Consider the following 16388-nt stretch of genomic DNA (forward strand, 5'->3'; position numbering starts at 1 on the left):
GCCGAGTCAAAACATTTTCATTTCTTATGGGCTGCTTTTTATTGATATATATCTCACGTAACATAATATTTACGCTTTAAAGTGTACAAGTCAGTGGTTTTTAGTATATTCACAGATATGTGCAACTATTGCCACTGATTCCAGAACATTTTATCACCCCCTAAGAGAAACCCTGTACCTATTAGCAGTGACTGCCATCCCTCCTCTCCCTCCCTGGCAACCACTAATCTACTTTCGGTCACTATGGATTTGCCTGTTCTGGACGTTTAATGTAAATGGTGTCATACAATATGTGGATTTTTGTGTCTGACTTCTTTCACTTAGCATGTTTTCAAGGTTCATCCATGTTGTAGCATGTATTAGTACTATACTTCCTTTGTGTGGTTGAACAATATTTCACTGTATAGACATATCATATGTTGTTTCTCAATTCATCCATTGATGAACATTTGGATTGTTTATGCTTTTGGCTATTATGAAAAATGCTACCATGAATATTCATACAGATGTTTTTGTAAGGGCATATGTTTTCAATTCTGTTGGGCATATATTAAGGAGCAAAATTTCTGGATCATATGGTAATTATATATTTAACATTTAGAGAAACTGTCAAAATGTTCTGCAAAATGGCTCCACCATTTTACACTCCCGTTAGCAATGTATGAGGGATTCACTTTCTCCACATCCTTGTCAACACTTATAATTGTCTGTCTTTTATATTTTAGCTATTCTAGTGAGTGTGAAGTGGTGTCTCACTGTGGTTTCAATTTGCATTTCCCTAATGACCAGTGATGTTGAACATCTTCTCCTGTGCTTATTGGTCATTTGTATATCTTCTTTGAAGAAATAGCTATTTGTGCTTTTTTGCCCATTTTTTAAATGGGTTGTCTTTTAGTTGTTGAGTTTTAGGAATTCTTTTATTTATTTATTTATTTTTTTGAGACAGAGCCTCACTCTGTCAGCCAGGCTGGAGTGCAGTGGGGTGATCTCGGCTCACTGCAACCTCAAACTCCTGCGCTCAAGGGAACCTCCTGCCTCAGCCTCCCAAGTAGTTAGAACTACAGGCACAGTCCACCATGCCTGGCTGATTTTTTTTTTTTTAAAGACAGAGTCTTGCTCTGTCGCCCAGGCTGGAGTGCAGTGGCGCGATCTCAAAAAAAATTTACTATTTTACAATTTTAATTAGTTTAATATTTTTATATCTATATTTCAATATAATTGGTTTCCTTTGTAATCCTACACATCTTATTTTATGCGTTAAAAACATTATTCTGAAAAAGTGTCCATAGGCTCCACCAGGTTGATAGAGGTTAAAAAACCCTGATTGTTTTTTTTGAGACAAGGTTTTACTCTGTCTCTCAGGCTGGAAAGACCTCCTAGGCTCAAGTGATCCTCCCACCTCAGTCCCCTGAGTAGCTGGGACCACAAGGGGGCGCCACTACACTCTGCAAATTTTTTAAATTTTTAGTGGAGATGGGGTCTTGGTAAAGGCAGGTCTTGAACTCTTGGCCTCAAGCAATCCTCGTGCCTCAGCCTGCCAAAGTGCTGGGTTTACAGGTGTGAGCCACTTCACCCAGCCAAGAACTCCTGATTTAAGGAGCAATATCTGCATGGAGAAACCAGAACTGTGTCCTATGAACAAATTCCCTCAGGGGAGATGAAAGTCAGTGGAATTTTTTCTTTCTTTTTTTTTTTTGAGATGGAGTCTTGCTCTGTCGACAGTGGCATTATCTCGGCTCACTGCAACCTCCACCTCCCAAGTTCAAGCGATTCTCGTGCCTCAGTCTCCTGAGTAGCTGGGATTACAGGCGCCCACCACCATGCCTGGCTATTTTTTTTTATTTTTAGTAGAGACAGGGTTTTACCATGTTGGCCAGGCTAGTCTCGAACTCCTGACTTCAAATGATCCACCCGCCTTGGCCTCCCAAAGTGCTGAGATTACAGGTGTGAGCCACCATGCCCGGTCCCTTTTCTTCTTCTTCTTCTTCTTCTTTTTTTTTTTTTTTTTTGAGACACTGCACTCTGTCGCCAAGCCTGGAGTGCAGTGGCATGAACACAGCTCACTACAGTCTCAACTGCTCCAGCTTAGGTGACCCTTCTATCTCAGCCTCCAGAGCAGCGTCTGGGACCACAGGCGGGCACCACCATGCCCAGCTAATTTTTGTATTTTTTTTTTTGCAGTGATAGGGTTTCACCTGTTGTGTAGGCTGGTCTCAAACTCCTGGCTTCAAACAACACACCCACTTTTGCCTCCTAAAGTGCTGGGATTGCAGGCATGGGCTGCCCCAACCTGTCAAACTTTCTGAACCTACTGTACAAGTATATCCTCAGATTCACTCAGATCTTGACGAATTATCTTTCCTGTTTAGAGAAATCCCAAGCCTACCCTTAATTTTTTTTGAAAGGAAAGATCGTTCATATGCTGAAGACAACTTCAACTTTGCTTTTATTTATTTGGACTCTGAATGATTTTAACATCTTTTGTTTGATTTTTTCTGTTTTTTAAAAAACTTTATTGATTTTTGAGACAAGGTCTTGCTCTGTCACCCAGGCTGGAGTGCAGCCATGAGATCATAGCTCACTGCAGCCTGGAGCTCCTGGGCTCAGGGATCCTCCTACCTCCTCCTCCCATGTAGCTGGGACTATAGGCATGGGCTACCATGCCTGGCTAATTTGCATTTTTTTTTGTAGAAACGGGGGTCTCACAGCTGGGCACAGTGGCTCATGCCTGTAATCCCAGCACTTTGGGAGGCCGAGGCGGGTGGATTGCGAGGTCAGGAGTTCAAAACCAGCCTGGCCAAGATGGTGAAACCCCGTCTCTGAGGGCAGAGGTTGCAGTGAGTGAGATTGCGCCATGCACTCCAGCCTGGACGGAGTGAAACTCCATCTCAGAAAAAAAAAAAAAAAAAAGAAAGAAACGGGGGTCTCACTATATTGCCCAGGCTGGTCTTGAACTGGGCTCAAGTGATCCTCCTACCTCAGCCTCCCAAAGGACTGGGATTATAGACATGAGCCACTGCACCTGGCCTTAAACTTACATTTTAAACTTCCAGTGTGCTGATTTGGGGCTTAGCAGTCTTTTTTTTTTTTTTTTTCTTGAGACGGAGTCTCACTGTGTTGCCCAGGCTGGAGTGCAGTGGCACTATCTCAGCTCGCTGCAACCTCTGCCCCCCCGGTTCAAGTGATTCTCCTGCCTCAGCCTCCCGAGTAGCTAGAATTACAGGTGTCAGCCACTGCACCTGGCTAATTTTTCTATTTTTAGTAGAGACGGGGTTTCGCCATCTTGGCCAGGCTAGTCTTGAACTCCTGACCTCATGATCAACCCACCTCGGCCTCCCAAAGTGTTGGGATTACAGGTGTGAGCCACTGCGCCTGGCCTCATTTTTTTTTTGGAGAGATCTTTGCTAATTGTTTTCACCAATGGTGAAAAAAGAATGGTTGCAGATTTTATTTATTTATTTACTTTAAAAATTTATTTATTTATTTATCTGAGATAGAGTCTTGCTTTGTCACCCAGGCTGGAGTGCAATGGTGTGATCTCGGCTCACTGCAACCTCTGCCTCCTGGGTTCAAGTGATTCTCCTGCCTCAGCCTCCCGAGTAGCTGGGATTTGGGATTACAGGCGTGTACCACCATACCCGGCTAACTTCTTTTTTTACTTTTAGTAGAGAGAGGGTCTCACCATGTTGGCCAGGCTGCTTTCAAACTCCTGGCCTCAGGTGATCCACCTGCCTTGTCCTTCCAAAGTGCTAGGATGACAGGCGTGAGCCACTGAGCCTGGCCCTGGTTGTAGGCTTCAAAAAAAAGGAATAACAATGTACGCCAGATGTAGTGGCTCACCTCTTTAATCCCAGCACTTTGGGAGACTGAGGTGGGCGGATCCCTTGAAGTCAGAAGTTTGAGACCAGCCTGGCCAACATGGTGAAACCTTGTCTCTACTAAAAGTACAAAAAAGGTTAGCCAGGTGTGGTGGTACACACCTGTAATCCCAGGTACTTGGGAAGCTGAGGCAGAAGAATTACTTAAACCTGGGAGGTGGAGGTTGCAGTGAGCCAAGATCGTGCCACTGCACCCCAGCCTGGGCAATGCAGAGAGTCAAAAAAAAAAAAAAGAAAGAAAGAAAGAAAAAAGAAACAGTGAAACGCCATCTCTGTTAAAAATAAACAAAATTGGCCGGGCATGGTCATGCATGCCTGTGACCAGCTACTTGGGAGGTTGAAGTGAGAGGATGGCTTGAGCCCAGGAGGTCAAGGCTGCAGTAAGCCAAGATTGCATCACGCACTCCAGCCTGGGTGACAGATGAAACCTTGTCTCAAAAAACAAATAAAAACCAAACCAAAATAAAACCCACAAAAAATAATGTATAGAGCTCTCTAAGACATATTTTATAAAATAACAAAAACCTATCTGCAGAATACATTCTGTACAATCCCCAATCCCATTTATGTAATAAGCAAAAACAGAGTACTGCATAGGTCTACAAATGTGTATGTGTTTATACATAGAAAGAGAACTAAAACTATATCAAACTGTGTTTTTTTCTATTTTCTTTTTTTTTTTTTTTGAGATGGATTTTCACTCTTGTCGCCCAGGCTGGAGTGCAATGGCACGATCTCGGCTCACTGCAACCTCCGCCTCATGGGTTCAAGTGACTTTCCTGCCTCAGCCTCCTGAGTAGCTGGGATTACAGGTGCCTGCCACCATGCCCAGCTAATTTTTGTACTTTTAGTAGAGATGGGGTTTCATCACGTTGGCCAGGCTGGTCTCAAACTCCTGACCACAGGTGATCCACCCACCTCAGCCTCCCAAAGTGCTGGGATTACAGGCATGAGCCACTGCACCTGGCCTATGTCAAATTGTTAACAGTCTTTTTTTTTGTTTTTTTTTTTGAGACAGGATCTCATTCTGACACCCAGGCTGGAGCGCAGTGGTGTGATCTCGGCTCACTGCAGCCTCGACTTCCTGGGCTCAAGCAATCCTCCTGCCTCCGCCTCCTGAGTAGCTGGGACCACAGGCATGTGCCACCATGCCTGGCTAATTTTTGTAGAGGCGGGATTTCACTATGTTCCCCAGGCTGGTCTGGAACTCCTGACCTCAAGCGATCTGTCCGCCTCGGCCTCCCAAAGTGCTAGGATTACTGGCATGAGCCACTGAGCCCAGCCATCAAACTGCTAATAGTCTTTCCAAGAGGAGAATAAGACTAGGGGAAGGGTGAAGTGGAAAGTTTCACTTTTTCTCTATATTCCTCTGTTTATTTAAGATTATACCATAAGGATGTACTTTTTTTTTTCTTTTTTGAGACAGAGTTTCACTCTTGTTGCCCAAGCTGGAGTGCAATGGAGGGATCTTGGCTTACTGCAACCTCCGCTTCCTGGGTTCAAGTGATTCTCCTGCCTCAGCCTCCCGAGTAGCTGGGATTACAGGCGCCTGCCACCATGCCCGGTTAATTTTGTATTTTTAGTAGAGGCGGGGTTTCTCCATGTTGGTCAGGCTGGTCTCAACCTCCCGACCTCAGGAGATCCACCCGCCTCGGCCTCCCAAAAGTGCTGGGATTACAGGTGTGAGCCACTGTGCCTGGCCATTATTTTTAACACTAGGATTAACTTTAAAGACAGTAGAGTTACTGTCTTAGTCCATTTTATGCTGCTATAAGAGAATACCACAGACTGAATAATTTATAATGAACAGAAATTTATTAGGCTCATGGTTCTAGAGGCTTAGAAGTCCAAGATCCTGGAGCCATATCTGGAAAGGGCCTTCTTGCTGCATCTTAACATGGCAGAAAGCATCACATTGGGTGAGAGAGAGTGAAAGGGAAAGGCAGAGAGAAGGAGGAAGAGAGAGAGAAAGGGAGAGAGAGAGAGGCACCAAAGTTATCCTTTTATTGGGAACCCACTCCTGAGATAACTAACCCATTCCCGCCATAACAGCATTAATCCATTCATGAGGGCAGAACCTTCAGGTACTAATCATTCTTAAAGGTTCCACTTCTCCAGATTGTTGCATTGGGGATTAAGTTTCCAACACATGAACTGTGGGGGACACATTCGAATCATAGCAGTTACCCATATAGCTACTGAGCCAAATCTTGGGACTACTAAAACTTTTTATGTTATGTTATGTTATTTTATTTTATTTTATTTTTATTTATTTATTTTTTTTGAGACGAGTCTCGCTCTGTTGCCCAGGCCGGAGTGCCGCGGCGCTATCTTGGCTCACTGCAACCTCCGCCTTCCAGGTTCAAGCGATTCCCCTGCCTCAGCCTCCAGAGTAGCTGGGATTGCAGGCGCGGGCCGCCACGCCAGACTAATTTTTTTTTTTTAAATATTTTTAGTAGAGACGGGGTTTCACCGTGTTAGCCAGGATGGTCTCCCTCTCCTGACCTCGTGATCCGCCCCCCTCGGCCTCCCAAAGTGCTGGGATTACAGGCGTAAGCCCCCGCACCCGGCCATTGTATGTATGTATGTATGTATGTATGTATGTATGTATGTATGTATGTATGTATTTTTGAGACGGAGTCTTGCTTTGTCGCCCAGGCTGGAGTGAAAATGGCACGATCTCGGCTTACTGCAACCTCTGCCTCCCGGGTTCAAGCAATTCTCGTGCCTCAGCCTCCCGAGTAGCTGGGATTACAGGCACCCACCACCACGCCTGGCTAATTTTTTTGAATTTTTCGTAGAGACCGGGTTTCACCATGTTGGCCAGGCGGTCTTGAACCCCTGACCTCAGGTGATCCACCCACCTCGGCCTCCCAAAGGGTTGGGATTACAGAAAGTGTTAGGATTACAGACATGAGCCATCGCGCCCAACCAAAACTTTATATGTTATTTTCTTATTTCATCTCTCCCAGTTGATTAATTAAAAAGTGTTACTTAAGAATCTACTTTGGCTGGGCGTGGTGCTCATGCCTATAACCCAATGCTTTAGAAGGCCAAGGCAGGAGGATGGCTTGAGGCCAGGAGTTCTAGACTAGCCGGAGCAACAAGGCAAAACCACCCCCTCATCCCCACACACTGCCCTATCTCTACAAATTTGCTTTGCAAATTGGGAAAACAGCATTTCATAGGATTTCTGTGAGGATTAGACAGGTTAAACATGTAAAATGTGTAAGACTGCATTTTGCCTATATACATAAAAAACTGGCCAGACGCAGCAGCTCACACCTGTAATCCCATCACTTTGGGAGGCCAAGGCAGGTGGATTACCTGAGATGGGGAGTTGGAGACCAGCCTGACCAACATGGTGAAAACCCATCTCTACTAAAAATATAATTAGCAGAGCGTGGTGGCACATGCCTGTAATCCCAGCTACTTGGGAGGCTGAGGCAGGAGAATTGTTTGAACCTGGGAGGCAGAGGTTGCAGTGAACCGAGATCATGCCTCTGCACTCCAGTCTCGGCGACAGAGTAAGACTCCGTCTCAAAAAAAAAAAAAAACAGTTAACATATATTAATTTTGGTTTTTATATTTTAGAACCATAGGCTTTTTTTTTTTTCAAGTCTCAAACATTTTCATAAGCAGCGTGCTATGGTGCTAGTGACTAAAACATTTCTGCCTACAGGGACTGGAAGTAGGAAAACAAGGAGGCAGTGCCAGTGGCGACCAGAAATTTGCACACCAGGTACAAAGGGTATTTGTCCTCAGCTCCAGCAGAGTTTCTTTTTTTTCTCTGCAACCATGTAAGGTTCTTCTAATGCAAAAGAAAAAAAAATCTGTCACATCTAAGGACCTTGAAAAGTTTTGTTTCCCTTGAGGAATTTGATATGCTTTTTCCTTATCATTCAGAAACATCAGTGTATAGTATGTTTTCCCAGTCTGCATTGCGCCCAGTAAGTTTCAAGCCAAAATTTCTGTTTAATTTTGGAACAATAGAAACTCCTGATCGGCACATTAAAAATTTTCTTTGATCTTGATCTTCCATACCCGTTGCTGCCTTTTATTTAATTTTACATTTCCTCTTGATTATATATCTTCCAAGCTGATTAAAATTTTCTACTAGCCAAAAGGAGTTTGAGCGAACAAAAATATTTACAGAGCCATCAGCCATCTATGAGAATACCTTTTTCTTGGCATTCCACACACTGCCAGGTGTTATTTGAAAAGTCTTTACTGATGTAATAAACCAGAAATGGTTTCTCATTGGGGTTTTATTTTGTATTTCTAAGATTACAGGTGAGAGTGAACATTTTCCCATATTTGTTAACCAGGTTTAAAACTGTTTGATTGGGACGTGGCTTATACAGGGACAAATGCAGCTAAGCCGACTGAAAGACAAATGAAACCCAGGAATATCTGGTTCTTACATTTTAGCTTTGACTCCGCCCCTGGGTCCCCTCACCTACCCGGACCCCAAGCAAGCCCTTTGTGTGTGTCAACCATCAGTGAATGGGATCTCAATCTGAAAAGCTGGCAGAATACCGTCTTGCCCCCAAATATGTGTATTATGCGTATATCCAGTGTCTGATTGCAATGTTTATGGGAAAAAGTTCCTGAATCCTAACCAAGACTGAGGCACTGGCCGTCCCCGGGAGTCTTTCCGCAGGCGCGGCCTCTGACACTCGGTCTTCGATTGGCCCGCCTGGCCCCGCAGGAGTCGGGGTGACGCCGGCCAGCCCAGAGCGGACGATGAGAGCTAGGAGTGGCTGCTTCTGCCTTTCTCTCCCCCTACTTTTTTTTTTTTAGCCATAGCTATGGTTACCACGTTTCTCTCCGCCTCCCGCCACCTACCAAGAAAACGACTGACCATTGGCTGCCTTTCACCAAGGCGGTAAGTCATTGGTCTCTGGTGGGACCGGGCGCTGCCCCCTTCCCCTGTCTCCTGGGTCTCTGGAGGAGCCCAGGAAGGAGGCTCCGCTGGTTCCGCTGGGTCAGGCGCTGACGGGACCGGGCTGCGGCAATCGTTAGCGGGTCATGTCGGCCGCCCAGGGCTGGGACAGGAACCGCCGGAGGGGAGGAGGCGCCGCCGGCGCTGGTGGCGGAGGTAGCGGGGCCGGCGGGGGCAGTGGGGGCAGCGGGGGTCGGGGGACTGGCCAGCTCAACCGCTTCGTGCAACTCTCCGGGCGGCCGCACCTGCCAGGTGAGTCGTGGGACAGGGTCCTGACCGCTTGCGGGCGGGAAGGTGACTGCTACCTTTTCTTTTTCTCCCTGGCTTGCTTTTCCTTGGGAGGAGGAAAGGCAGGCCCCACGCATAGCAGAGGGACTGGGGATCAGAGAAAAGGGAAGGTGTCTTTGAGGTCAGGGAGGGAACAGGAGCACAGCGAAGAAAAGTATCTGTGCTCTGTTGAAAGCTCTGTGCTGAGAGTTGTGTTTTCTTTTCAAAGGAGAGGCCACTGTCTCATTGACATTTCCAAATGTTTCGGTTACTCGATTCCCAATCTCTTCCCCTTCCGCAGTTTGATCTTGTAAATGAAAGACATTGGCGCCTAGCTGTGGGAAATTATTTCAAAAAGGGTGCCAAGTTAAGGAGAGAAGAAGGAAACGCATTCCAAGGAGTGATTTTGTAAAAACTACACGGGGCGTGTGTGTAAGAGGCATTCTGAAACGGAAGAAAGGGGTGGGGGAGTGTTGGCTGGGGAGTGTATGGGAAAGAGAACCTAGAGGATTAGGGAAAACTAGTTGGATTATTAATATTTTGGAATGTTCAGAGACAGGATAATGGTGTCTAGGTTTTAAGGGGAGAAAGTGAAGATCAAAAATATACTTAGTGACACAATTATGCTGTGTTTACAATATAAAAACAACTGAGAATTGGAAAAATGTACCCAATACAATTATTTGACATTTTGGTCTACAGTGCCCTAGCCTTGAGTTCAGATGCTTTTGAAAACAAAATAAAATCAAGTGGATATGTATGTGTAGACAATTTTAAAGAGGTATGTTTGTAATTGAATATTCAATCTAGTAGAAGGAAGGTAGGGAATTAAATAATGCAGAGAACGTCAAATATCCCACTGGGCAAGCTTATTTTTACTATGAAAAGAACTATCAGGAATGATGTGTTAATTATTCATCGTGTTTTTTGTGAATAATATTGATTATATTAGTGATATATTTGTTTAGCTGATGAGTTTTGAGAACATGATGAATTGGTTTTTATGAATTGTGCTTAAGACTGTACCTTATACTTCTAGTCAAAAATTATTATTTGATTAAATTGAAGATGACAAAGGGAATTTAGCACATTTAATGAGACAATTGCTTATGTTCGTGATGAGGTTGTTGATGTGTGCTAGAAATGTACATTACCCCATTTATATGCATTAAATCGAGGCATTTGTAAGTAGTCATATAATATACCAGAAGTTGGGTTTGAGACGTTAATATCAGACTGGGCATCCTAGAATTGCTAAATATACGATCTTTAACATGAAAAAGAAAAAAGGAGCAATCTTTTTTCTTACTCCCAATTAATAATAAAAACTTAGATTTTTGTGTATTGGCAGCTTAGAAGATGAATCTCTTAGCAAACACTGTCACCAGTTTGCCCTCTACTACCGCAATCTTTAGGTCTTTGATCACGGATTAATTATACCATGGGCTTCAAGTAGGCATTCCTAGGTTCCTAGAACCTGCTTGGTGCACTTCCTCACTTCAACCACGTGATGGCAGTGGAAGCCATGATTTCTGCTAAGGGGCTTCAGTGTAGAGCTATTTCTGCATTCCCTTAGCACACAAGACCAAGAACAGCCATTTATCCGGAGGTAAAGATAAACGTGTCTAAACTGTGAAAATTTGTAAAGCGGGGTCATCAGTCTCTTTTTTCTGCTTCCCTTTTCTCTTGACTGACACTTCATTGCTCCTTTACTCATTCTCAAAATTGGGACACATCTGATACCTCAATGTATTATGTAGTTTGAAATTCTTTCATACCAATTCTTTATTCTGCTAGGTATTGCATTTTAAGCCTCTCCCTTTTCTTGCATTTTGATAGATTTTAAAAGATTTTAGGTGATGGGGAGGAATAGGATGTCTAGGCTTGGTTGACGGGCCTTGGAGATAAAACCTTTTATTTTAAATTTATTTATTTATTTATTTATTTATTGAGATGGAGTCTCACTCTGTCCTCCAGGCTGGAGTGCAGTGTCGCGATCTCGGCTCACTGCAACTCCACTTCCTAGGCTCAAGCAATTCTCCTGCCTCAGCCTCCTGAGTAGCTGAAATTACAGGCGCCCACCACCACGCCAGGCTAGTTTTTGTATTTTTAGTAGAGACGGGATTTTATCATGTTGGCCAGGCTGGTCTTGAACTCCTGACCTCAGGTGATTTGCCTGTCTCAGCCTCCCAAAGTGCTGGGATTACAGGCGTGAGCCACCTCGCCCAGCCAAATTTTTTATTTTTTTGAGTGTACTATAGCGGCTGGTCGTGGTGGCTCACATCTGTAACCCCAGCACTTTGAAAGTCCAAGGTGGGAGGATCACTTGAGCCTAGGAGTTCAAGGCCAGCCTGGGCAACAAAGCAAGACCACATCTCAAGTTAAAAATTAAAAAACAACAACAACAACAACAAAAAACTATAGTATAGCTCACTGTCTCTCTCTTTTGACCTCTAAATCCTATTTGTCTTTTTTTTTTTTTTTTTTTTGAGACAGAGCCTCACTCTGTGGCCCAGGCTGGAGTGCAGTGGCACAGTCTTGGCTTACTGTAACCTTTGCCTCCCGAACTCTAGCAATTCTCCTGTCTCAGTCTGCCAAGTAGCTGGATTAGAGGTGCGGGCCACCACGTCCGGCTAATTTTTTGTATTTTTGGTAGAGATGGGTTTTTGCCATGTTGGCCAGGCTGGGCTCGAACTCCTGGCCTCAAGTGATCCTTCCGCCTCAGCCTCCCGAAGTGCTGGGATTACAGGCGTGAGTCACAGCGCCCAGCCAGCCCCATGTTCCATTTTTCATCCTTCTCTACCAAGACTTCCAGTTACTGATACTTAGAACCTTTTCTTACTTTTTACATCTCAACCCTCCATCCAGCCCCCAATGAAACCAAACAAAACAACCTGGTCTTCCTGGAGTGTTCTCATTCTCTTTCAGTGATAGCTTCTTTATCCATCCAGTTATGCAAACTTGAAACTTGGTCATCCTCCTCAATATTTTCTTCTCCGTTGCACTTCAGGTGTAATCATTTACCAAGTCCGTTTCTTTTACTCCTGCCATAACTCCAATCCACGGTGCCACCATCCCTCACTTAGGTCTCCTGCAGGAGCTTTTTAAGCAGTATTCGTGCTTCTACTCTTGCCCTTCAATTCATATAGCACACCAGTCTTTTTGCAAGCCCAAATACATTCTCATCCCTGCTCACAACCTTTTTATTGCTCTTAGGATAAGGCAAAAATCTTTAACATGGCCTCAAAGGCACTGTGTCGTCTGACTCCTCTCTAACTCTACAGTTAATCCTGTGTTACGTTCTCTTGGTCATTGATCTTTTTCTGCCCCCTTGGATGTATCATGCTTCCTCCTGCCCCAGGTCCATTGCACAAGCTTTTCCGTCATCCAAGAACCTTCTTACTCCTCATTCCATTCTCTTGTTTTAACTTCTCTTCCATTAGATCTCAGTTTGATCAAAATGTTTTTTTACATGGAAGCCTTCCGTGACTTTCTGACTTGGTCTCTTCTCTCTGTAACACTCATAGCATCATGTGGCTCTCCTTGGGCATACTTTACCATTTGTGTGTGATTCCTTGATATGCATGATTTGATACTCTTGAGATGTATGTGCGTATACATATACACACATATGCGTATATATATGCCATATACATATACATATATTTTTAAAATTCTAAATTAACGCATTGGCATTATATATAACACGTTAGTGTCTAGTGAGTTTGGTTAGTGTGGTTCAATCCTCTAGCCACATTGACTCTGGATAGATGGTTAAAATCAAGGTTCTCTCTCTTTTTTTTTTTTTTTTTCTGAGATGGAGTCTTGCTCTGTCACCCAGGCTAGAGTGCAGTGGCGCAATGTCACTGCAACCTCTGCCTCCCAGGTTCAAGCAGTTCTCCTGCCTCAGCCTCCTGAGTAGTTGGGATTATAGGTGCGCGCCACTGTGCTACTTTTTGTATTTTTAGTAGAGACGGGGTTTCATCATGTTGGCCAGGCTGGTCTCGAACTCCTGATCTTGTGATCCACCCACCTTGGCCTCCTAAAGTGTTGGGATTACAGGCGTGAGCCACCGTGCCTGGCCAAAATCAGGTTCTTTAATGTAAAGTAGTGGATTAGACTCTGCATCCATTGCGACAGCACAAACAATAGTTTGTGAAACCTTTTTTTAAGCACTTGCCTTTCTCCTGTTTTCTGAAGTTCACTAGTGATTATGTGTTTGCCTCATAGGCCAAGAAATTAATAGCTTTTTACTCCTGGATTTTTACTAACTCATAATTTCTATACACCCAGTAACGAACAGGGAATTGTGCTTTTTGTAGAATAAGTATGCAGAGAGCTCAGGAGCGCGGGGTTCATGGGGCAATGGAATTCAGGTAGCTGTTGTGATTTAACTGTGTGAGTTTGATTAAATACCATGATTAGCTGGGAAAACAGTTAAACATTGTTGCTAACATGGGAACTGGAAAACTGACAAAGAAAAAGAAGGAAAAATGTAACAGTTGGTAAAGCTGGGTAAAAATAATACTGTAGTCTTAACTTAAAAATTTTAAGTAAGTAATGTGTATAAAATCCAAATGATACAAAAAAGTATATGGTAAAAGGCAAGTTTTTCTTCTTCCTTTGACCCCAGCTAATTGACTGCCTTCCCTAGAAGCAACCAATGATACATTTCCTGTATATTTTTTCCAGGTTCAGGGGGGACGGGAGGGACTTTGTGGAGATGGTAGCATTCCTTTGTTTGGATGGGTATTTAAGATGTTTACAATCTTGCTAATACAAATAGTGATACAATGAATAGCCCTATACATATATAACTTTTGCACATGAGAGAGTCTTTCTTTAGGATAAATTTGTAGAAGTACAGTTTCTGGGTCAAAGGATTTATGTTTACTGCTTAAATTTTGATAGATTCTGTCAAATTTCAAGTTTATGTTTCCCTGTTGTTGTTCGAGTGCTGTCTTCCTTGTTCTTTTGGTAACGGAGTGGGTTATCAAACGTTATTTAAATTGTCAGTTTAATAGGAATAGTTTTCTTAAGTGTCTTTCCAATAGGTAGATAAAAGAGCCATTTATTTGTTTCCTTTATCTATAGATCTGTTTATATTTTTTGTTCATTTTTCTATTGGGATGGTTCATATTGTTTATAAAGGCGGTACCCAACCTTTTTGGCACCAGGGACCAGTTTCGTGGAAGACAATTTTTCCATGGACCGGGATGGTGGGGTGGAGGAGTGGGGGGAATGGTTTCAGGATGAAACTGTTCCACCTCAGGTCATCAGGCACTAGAGACTCAAAAGGAGTGCACAGCCTAGATCCCTTGCATGCACAGTTCACCGTAGAGTTAGCACTCCTATGAGAATCTAATGCTTGATCTGACAGGAGGCCAAGCTCTGGCGGGAATGCTCACTCGCCCACCACTCACCTCCTGCTATGTGGCCAGGTTCCTAACAGGCCATGGACCGGTACCAGGGGTCCATGGCCTGGGGCTTGCGGACCCCTGGTTTATAGGAACTCTGTATTTTAATGAAATCAGTTCTTAGCCATTGACACGTTGCAGATATTTTTCACAGTTTTTCATTTGCGTTTTGACTTTGTTTATGGTCTATTTTTTCATCAGAAATTAAATGTTTTAAATGTTTTGTTGTGAAATTTATCAGTCTTTTCAGAGTCTAGGTTTTGTGTCATAAGAAAGGCCTTTCCTATTTTATTATTATTTCTAATTCAAATTAAATATTCTTGTGTTTTCTCCAGGTACTTCTGTAATTTTATTTTTAAGTTAAATGCACTTACCCACACAAAATGTAAGTTAAATAAAGTGTCGAGGTGGGAATCCAACTATACTTTTCTTCCAGATGGCTGCCCAGTTATGGCAGTGTCCTTCATTTAGTTCAGCTTTGCCCTGCTGATTGAAATGTTGTCTATAGGTGTACTTAGTTCCTACAGTTTGAGGTTATTACTGGACTTTTATTCTGTTTCATTGATCAGATTACCTATTTATACCTAATGACTCTATTCCTTGGTTATCATCTTCCCTCATTCTACTTCCCAGAGTTTTCCTGGGAAGTTTTCTTTGTTTATTTTTCTATATGGCTTAGAATTAGCTAACCAAGTCCTGCTCCTCTGTCCTGTTGGCATTTTTATTGGTATTGTATTATATTTATAGATTAATTTAGAGATAATTGACATCGTTTTGAGGTTCAAAAACAGGGTCTATATTCATTTCTTTATGTTCAAGAACAGTATATGTGGCCAGGCATGGGGGCTCACGCCTTTAATCCCAACACTTTGGGATGCTGAGGCAGGCGGATCACTTGAGGCCAGGAGCTTGAGACCAGTCTGACCAACATGGGGAAACCCCATCTCTGCTAAAAATATAAAACTTAGCCGTTCTTGGTGGCAGGTGCCTGTAATCCCAGCTACTCGGGAGGCTGAGGCAGGAGAATTGTTGAACCTGGGAGGCAGAGGTTGCAGTGAGCCAAGATTGTGCCACTGCACTCCAGCCTGGGTGACTGAACAAGACTCTGTCTCAAAAAAAAAAAAAAAAAAAAAAAAAAAAACAGTATATGTATTTATTGTCATTCAAGTATTGTTTTGTATCTATCAACATTAAAAAGTTGTTTATTTTTTTATATAGGCCTCACATTTCTTATTATGTTTATTCCTTGGTGTTTATCTTGTTTGTTGCTATTGTAAATGGGGTTTCTACTACTTTCTTTTTTCTTTTTCTTTCTTTTTTTTTTTTTTTTTTGAGACGGAGTCTTGCTCTGTCGCCCAGGCTGGAGTGCAGTGGCACCATCTTGGCTCACTGCAAGCTCCGCCTCCCGGGTTCACGCCATTCTCCTGCCTCAGCCTCCCAAGTAGCTGGGACTACAGGCACCTGCTACCACGCCCAGCTAATTTTTTGTAGTTTTAGTAGAGATGGGGTTTCACCATGTTAGCCAGGATGGTCTCGATCTCCTGACCTCGTGATCCACCGGCCTCGGCCTCCCAAAGTGCTGAGATTACAGACGAGAGCCACCGCGCCCGGCCGGGGTTTCTACTTTCTTTTATAACTTTTATGTGGTTGTTTGAATATGAGAATGCTATTAAATTTTGAGTATTAATTTTATACCTAGCCACGTTAAGAATTCTAATATTATCTATAATAGTTTCCCAGTTGTTTTTCTAGAGAATAACAGGTATAGCTAAATAATCATATCATTACTGAATAATGATAATTTTATCTTCTCCTTTTCATTTTTTTTTCTTTTTTTTTAAATAGGCCTGGCGTGTTGGCTCATGCCTGTAATCCCAGCAC

The 16388-nt window shown here is 43.2% G+C and overlaps 1 protein-coding gene across 5 annotated transcripts in view, besides 3 other annotated features; it reads left to right on the forward strand.

The window, feature by feature from the left end:
- Positions 8315-8514: an enhancer, noted in NCBI's record as "active region_26643". NCBI's record gives its function as "activates an Ori minimal core promoter by ATAC-STARR-seq in GM12878 lymphoblastoid cells {active_cell/tissue: GM12878}" and the evidence as "EXISTENCE:reporter gene assay evidence [ECO:0000049][PMID:35858748]".
- Positions 8545-8734: an enhancer, noted in NCBI's record as "active region_26644". NCBI's record gives its function as "activates an Ori minimal core promoter by ATAC-STARR-seq in GM12878 lymphoblastoid cells {active_cell/tissue: GM12878}" and the evidence as "EXISTENCE:reporter gene assay evidence [ECO:0000049][PMID:35858748]".
- Positions 8800-16388, forward strand: part of KLHDC10 (kelch domain containing 10) — a 65172-nt gene continuing 57583 nt past the window's right edge. For all 5 annotated transcript variants that reach the window (XM_047420061.1, XM_047420062.1, XM_047420063.1 and 2 more), the window contains exon 1: positions 8800-9075. Coding sequence is in view for 2 of the 5 variants with exons in the window: in NM_014997.4 (NP_055812.1) it covers positions 8910-9075 (166 nt within the window). In the remaining 3 variants the exon portion in view is untranslated. The remainder of the gene's footprint in view (positions 9076-16388) is intronic.
- Positions 8835-9004: a silencer, noted in NCBI's record as "silent region_18642". NCBI's record gives its function as "represses an Ori minimal core promoter by ATAC-STARR-seq in GM12878 lymphoblastoid cells {active_cell/tissue: GM12878}" and the evidence as "EXISTENCE:reporter gene assay evidence [ECO:0000049][PMID:35858748]".

The sequence above is a fragment of the Homo sapiens genome, chromosome 7 (assembly GCF_000001405.40).
Source record: "Homo sapiens chromosome 7, GRCh38.p14 Primary Assembly".
NCBI classification, from domain to species: Eukaryota; Metazoa; Chordata; class Mammalia; order Primates; family Hominidae; genus Homo; species Homo sapiens.